The sequence below is a fragment of the Homo sapiens genome, chromosome 8, assembly GCF_000001405.40.
Source record: "Homo sapiens chromosome 8, GRCh38.p14 Primary Assembly".
Classification (NCBI taxonomy): Eukaryota; Metazoa; Chordata; class Mammalia; order Primates; family Hominidae; genus Homo; species Homo sapiens.
In genome coordinates, this window is record NC_000008.11 from 84,018,802 (window position 1) to 84,025,883 (window position 7,082).

At 37.2% G+C, this 7,082-nt stretch overlaps 2 annotated features.

Moving 5' to 3' along the window:
- Window positions 1,063–1,564: an enhancer, noted in NCBI's record as "H3K4me1 hESC enhancer chr8:84932099-84932600 (GRCh37/hg19 assembly coordinates)". NCBI's record gives its function as "activates a minimal SCP1, AML or CMV promoter by ChIP-STARR-seq in primed H9 embryonic stem cells {active_cell/tissue: H9 hESC(primed)}" and the evidence as "EXISTENCE:reporter gene assay evidence [ECO:0000049][PMID:30033119]".
- Window positions 1,565–2,064: an enhancer, noted in NCBI's record as "H3K4me1 hESC enhancer chr8:84932601-84933100 (GRCh37/hg19 assembly coordinates)". NCBI's record gives its function as "activates a minimal SCP1, AML or CMV promoter by ChIP-STARR-seq in primed H9 embryonic stem cells {active_cell/tissue: H9 hESC(primed)}" and the evidence as "EXISTENCE:reporter gene assay evidence [ECO:0000049][PMID:30033119]".

The following is a 7,082-nucleotide window of genomic DNA, read 5'->3' on the forward strand; positions in this document are numbered from 1 at the left end:
ACTGATGGGTCTTGACTCTTTATCCAATTTGCCAGTCTGTGTCTTTTAATTGGAGCATTTAGTCCATTTACATTTAAAGTTAATATTGTTATGTGTGAATTTGATCCTGACATTATGATGTTAGCTGGTTATTTTGCTCGTTAGTTGATGCAGTTTCTTCCTAGTCTCGATGGTCTTTACATTTTGACATGATTTTGCAGTGGCTGGTACCGGTTGTGCCTTTCCATGTTTAGTGCTTCCTTCAGGAGTTCTTTTAGGGCAGGCCTGGTGGTGACAAAATCTCTCAGCATTTGCTTGTCTGTAAAGTATTTTATTTCTCCTTCACATATGAAGCTTAGTTTGGCTGGATATGAAATTCTGGGTTGAAAATTCTTTTCTTTAAGAATGTTGAATATTGGCCCCCACTCTCTTCTGGCTTGTAGAGTTTCTGCCGAAAGATCCACTGTTAGTCTGATAGGCTTCCCTTTGTGGGTAACCCGACCTTTCTCTCTGGCTGCCCTTAACATTTTTTCCTTCATTTCCACTTTGGTGAATCTGACAATTATGTGTCTTGGAGTTGCCCTTCTCGAGGAGTATCTTTGTAGCGTTCTCTGTATTTCCTGAAAGTTCTCCTGGATAATATCCTGCAGAGTGTTTTCCAACTTGGTTCCATTCTCCCCGTCACTTTCAGGTACACCAATCAGACGCAGATTTGGTCTTTTCACATTGTCCCATATTTCTTGGAGGCTTTGTTCGTTTCTTTTTATTCTTTTTTCTCTAAACTTCCCTTCTTGCTTCATTTCATTCATTTCATCTTCCATCACTGATACCCTTTCTTTCAGATGATCGCATTGGCTCCTGAGGCTTCTGCATTCTTCACGTAGTTCTCGAGCCTTTACTTTCAGCTCCATCAGCTCCTTTAAGCACTTCTCTGTATTGGTTATTCTAGTTATACATTCATCTAAATTTTTTTCAAAGTTTTCAACTTCTTTGCCTTTGGTTTGAATTTCCTCCTGTAGCTCAGAGTAGTTTGATCGTCTGAAGCCTTCTCTCAACTTGTCAAAGTCATTCTCCGTCCAGCTTTGTTCCTTTGTTAGTGAGTAACTGTGTTCCTTTGGAGGAGGAGAGGCACTCTGCTTTTTAGAGTTTCCAGTTTTTGTGCTCTGGTTTTTCCCCATCTTTGTGGTTTTATCTACTTTTGGTCTTTGATGATGGTTATGTACAGATGGGTTTTTGGTGTGTATGTCCTTTCTGTTTGTTAGTTTTCCTTCTAACAGACAGGACCCTCAGCTGCAGGTCTGTTGGAGTACCCTGCCGTGTGAGGTGTCAGTCTGCCCCTGCTGGGGGGTGCCTCCCAGTTAGGCTGCTCGGGGGTCAGGGGACAGGGACCCACTTGAGGAGGCAGTCTGCCCGTTCTCAGATCTCCAGCTGCATGCTGGGAGAACCACTGCTCTCTTCAAAGCTGTCAGACAGGGACATTTAAGTCTGCAGAGGTTACTGCTGTCTTTTTGTTTGTCTGTGCCCTGCTCCCAGAGGTGGAGCCTAGAGAGGCAGGCAGGCCTCCTTGAGCTGTGGTGGGCTCCACCCAGTTCGAGCTTCCTGGCTGCTTTGTTTACCTAAGCAAGCCTGGGCAATGGCGGGTGCCACTCCCCCAGCCTTGCTGCTGCCTTGCAGTTTGATCTCAGACTGCTGTGCTAGCAATCAGTGAGACTCCGTGGGCATAGGACCCTCCGAGCCACGTGTGGGGTATAATCTCATGGTGCGCCGTTTCCTAAGCCCGTCGGAAAAGCGCAGTATTGGGGTGGGAGAGGCCCGATTTTCCAGGTGCCGTCTGTCACCCCTTTTCTTGACCAGGAAAGGGAACTCCCTGACCCCTTGCGCTTCCCGAGTGAGGCAATGCCTCGCCCTGCTTCGGCTGGCGCACGGTGCGCTGCACCCACTGTCCTGCGCCCACTCTCTGGCACTCCCTAGTGAGATGAACCCGGTACCTCAGATGGAAATGCAGAAATCACCCCTCTTCTGCGTCGTTCTCGCTGGGAGCTGTAGACCAGAGCTGTTCCTATTTGGCCATCTTGGCTTCTCCCCTCTTCCATATGTTTTTTTCCTCCCATATCTGGTGCCCCAAACTGCATTAATATTCACATTAAATTGTAATTATTACTCTGAGATTTTTCTTGTTACCTCAGGTTCAATCTTACGTTTCTCAGCAGAGGCACTGTCAGTATAGCATAGTGAAAAGAGTGTGGCTTTTGAGCTAAATAGCCCCAGTTTTGAATCTTAACACTCCCAGGTATTCTTCTTCCATTAACAGGTAACTTTATTCTGCCAAATCCCAGTTTCTTTATTTGTAACATAATAATAATAAGTGCCCCACTAGCCAGATTGTTTAGGGAATAAAGTTAGCAATGTACATGCACCACCTTGCACATATGAAGTGCTTAAATGTAGAGGTTATTGCTCTTAGGGTGATTTTATTATTTCTTTTCTTTACTTAATTACTTTTGAACTATCTTTTATTTATAATTATATTGTTTTAATTTTTGAAGAGTCTTTCTAAGCAACTTTGGTGAAGTTTTTAAGAAACCAATATGAACTTGTCGTCTTTCTAATAAAATAAATTTATGATTTAAAATTACTAGCATAGTTGAACTAACTGACCTAGCTCCTGCCACTGTGTCTTATTATTCATATATCATAATTTTTCTATTTTATTATATATGATCTAAAAGATGGAATAAGATTTCTTTGTTTTTTTGTTCTCTGTGTTCTAAATCCCATTTATTTAAAATTACTTTTCATTATTACCCAGTTTTCAAAAACACTCTTTAAGTAATGGATTTATAACCATAGATATAGAATATCACCAAATAAAATATTAGTGTATGAAAACTAGATTGTATTCCAGGAAAGAAGGAGAGGTCTGCTTTTGGAAATCAATATCATATGTCACTATTTTATTGTTTTAAGGAAATGAAAAACATAGATATCTTGATGATAAAGTAAAAGCTTTGAACAAAACTTTAACAGCTATGCTTAGAAGCAGAAAATTTGGTAAATCTGAAAAAGCAGGAGAGGTCATTATTCTGAATAAGGCTTATCAGAAAACTATAGGAAATATCATGCTTGATGTGAAACAATCCCTTTAATGTCAGGAACAAGATGAAAAGAGCCAATAGTTGATATTGTTCTGAAATGCTAACTGCATGTAATAAAGCAAGAAAAGTAGTAAATAGTACAGATATAAGAAAGGAAGAAAACACACTGCTATTATTTGCAAATTATATATCTACGCACCTAGGAAATCAATGACAACTAAATGGAAGTATTTTAAAGTAAGAAGAAAGTTGAAATGACCTTTGTTTTTTAAGACCAATATAAAAAATGTCATTTTCTGATATCAGGACAACAGAGATAAATAATTATAAAATGTAATAAGTAACGGTCAAATTTATACACTAAGAAATAAAAGAGTAAATACCTTGAATATTTGTTAGTTATGTAAACAATTATAAAAATCAGGCCAAATCATACGTGAAAAGGGGAAATACTGTATTTCTGTTTCAGAAGACTCAAATATCAGACTGATATGGTTTGGCTGTGTCCCCAACCCAATCTCATCTTGAATTGTAACTCCCACAATTCCCACGTGTTATGGGAGGGATCCAGTGGAAGGTAATTGAATTATGGTGGCTAGTCTTTCCCATCCAACTCTCATGATAGTGAATAAGTCTCGTGAGATCTGATGGTTTTAAAAGTGGAACCGCTTTCTCTTGGTTCTCTCTTCTCTTCTCTGCTGCCATGTGAGATGTGCCTTTCACCTTCTGCCATGATTGTGAGGCCTCCCCAGCCACATGGAACCATGAGTCCATTAAACCTCTTTCTTTTGTAAGTTACCCAGTCTGATGTATGTCTTTATCAGCAGCATGAAAATGGACTAATACACAGACCAACCCCAAATCTTATTGAAATGTCAACCAAAATTTTAAATGTGCATACTCAACACTTATAAAACTCAACATTTGTAAGCTCAACACTTGTAAAACTCAAAAGAATAAAATTTGTATACTTACATACCAGGACATTCAAGTATTGTTTGTATTACCAAAAGATTGAAAAATAACTGGAAATGACACAAATAACATCAACAAGAAAATGGCAAAGATTGATTTTCACTCTTTAAATCATTGGTTAATGTATTGTTGGTATGTATGCAGTAAATGACTAACTCAGTAACTGTTTGTTGTCCCTGCCTATCTCAAAGAAAGGTATGACACTTGTTCCTCACTCCTGAAAGGAAATCTCTAAATCCCTGGAATATCCTGTTTCTGAAGAATGTCTTTGTTTTCATAGAGACTTTGGGCCATGACAGAAAGGGCTTGGAACACTTGACATCAGCTTGACCTACCTTGGAGCTTCCCTGGTTTGGAATATAGTCTCGCACCACATAACAACGTTTTAGTCAAAGAGACTGCATAAACAACTGTGCCCATATTTTTACTGTACCATTTCTACATTTACATCTGTTTATATACACAGATGTTTACCATTGTGTTGCAATTGCCTACAGTATTCAATAAAGAAACATACAGTTTTGTAGCCTAGGAGCAATAGGCTACACCATGAGCCTAGGTGGGTAGTAGGCTATGCTATCTGTTTGTGTAAGTACACTCTATAATGGTTTCACAAGAATGAAATTACCTAACACACACACTTTTCAGAATGTATCCCTGTTGTCAAGCAACATATGGCTGTACTTTGTGCATGTTGCCATGCATCATTGCTGGTAGAAATAAGCGCTATCCCTTCAAATCCACTGGGAGAGGACAACCTAAAGCTTGTTCCTGGTATCTCCTAGACATTGCCATGTGTGTATTTTTCCTATTCTTATTTTAATCTACATTGTTACACCATAATAAACAGTAAACATGAGTCTAATGGCTTTCCTTAGTTCTGAGAATCTTGCTAATGAATCATTGAACGTAGGGGTGGTCTTTGGGACTTCCCAAACTACAGCATGATTTTACACTGAGGCGGTTTTTATGTCATACTTTTAAAATGTTTTAAAACACACACACACACACACACACACACACACACACACAAAGAAAGAGAGAGGATTTCAACAAAAGGATCAGCCTCTTGTCAAATCATTGTTTCCAGGTTGCTTTTAAATTATTTTTACATTTGAAAATTTACATGTGACAAATTTTCTACAAACATATATATTTATCTGGTTTCAGTGCCGCATGCCACGACCATTTCTGTGGCACCACAATTTTTGAGGCAGCATAGCAGAGTGAGTGAGGTCATAAAGCCATATATTGCCTAAAGTTGATCCTGGCTCTTAACATGAATTTAGTCTATTATGTAACTTAACTCTACCTTGATTTCTTTATTTATAAAGCAGAGATAATTCTAGAGTTTTGTTATTATTGTTAAGGTTCCATTAATTTGTACGTAAGAAGTCAGATCAATGTCTTTAGTTTAGTATTATCAATAAAAACTTTTTTGCTTTAATTTTAAAATTTTATCCTTAAATAATTTTGGTTTGTTTCAGCATACATTTTCATCCAAAAATGTTGAGTATGCATACTAAGTTATTTTTATGCTAATTAGCAGTAAAATTGGCTATGTATAACATTTTCAGTTGATGACATTTGTTTTAATTTTATAATATTTCTTCATTGCTCCAGGAATTTAATGTAGCACAAGAAAAAATTAAAATGACTTTAATTTTTATTTCTTCATAGTTAGCATTTTTTTCTGTTTGGATGCTTATAGGCTCTGGACTTTATTTTTAATTTAGGGTTATTTTTATAATTCAAATTTTTGTAAAACAAGTTTTTACTGTATTGCTTTGGATTCTTTCTAGTTATTCCCATAATTTGAATCTCCATATCAATCACTGTCTCTCTCATTATTTTTATTTTATATCCTTTCTTTCAAATTTGAAAAATATTTTCTAGTTTGTCACTTCATGAGTGATCTTTCCCCCAGGATTAATAATATTCAATAAATGCTCTAATGTTGATTTTTGGTTATTATGTTAATTTTGTTATTTTACAAATATTTTCATCTTCTTCACCTCCATTTTTATCTTAGCCACAGACTTGGAAATTCATTCTGCTCTCTATTCTTCTTAGCTTATACTTTGGTTTTTGCTTCTGTTTGACAGAGGCTATGTATGCCATGAAAATCTTCAGGATAAGCCTTTAATTTCACTCTATAAGCTTCTGTCATAGGCCTCATTATTGTGTCTATTTTTCCTCTAGCTAGAGGGGATTTGTTCAGATAGGGTGTTCACTAATAAGCATAATGTGACTCTCCATTTACACCACTCTAGATTTACTTAGACATAGGTAAAAATATTCTTGTGAGGTCTACACACAGAAGGCAAGTTTAGATGACCACCAACCATTTTTGCAGTTTCTGCGGGCATGTCTTTAGTACCACTTATGCCTCATGACCAGAACTCTCCCTTTGCACTCCAGAACACCCAGACATCCAAAGCCTACATATATAGAATTTTATATTTGAAGCCAGATGCTGTGACTCACAGTCAGTTTCTCATCTCAGGTTCTGTTGTTTCTTAGTTATTCATGTGACCTATAAAATGAAGTGCTAATGGAATTTGGATCAGGAAAACCTACTTTGGGTTTTTCTTCAAGCAGTGTTTACACAATAGATGTCTGACTACTTAGAACTGTCTTGCTGGAGGAATCTCCGACCAGCATAAAACAAACACAACTTCGCTCTACTTACTTTCAGAGCCATATATTTGGGTTTTCCTGCATTTCAGGTGCTAAAACATACATGCATCATCAATCTCAGGAGTCCATTCAGCACCAGGGGTTTTGTAGACAGTGGAAAACCATCTCATATGTTGCCAACCTATTGACTAAAAAACCTAATGATCAGTACTATTAAATGTTCTCTTCTGAGATAGGTTAGCTGATAGTTGGTTCAGGCTAAGAAAAGAATTTCTAAGAAGTTACCGTTTTAGAAGTCTTCTTTCAACTGTTTCTAATGCAATAGAAAATATATATTTACGCACAATAAATAAGGTAAATAATAGATTATCATTAAAGCCTGAAATATAGTAA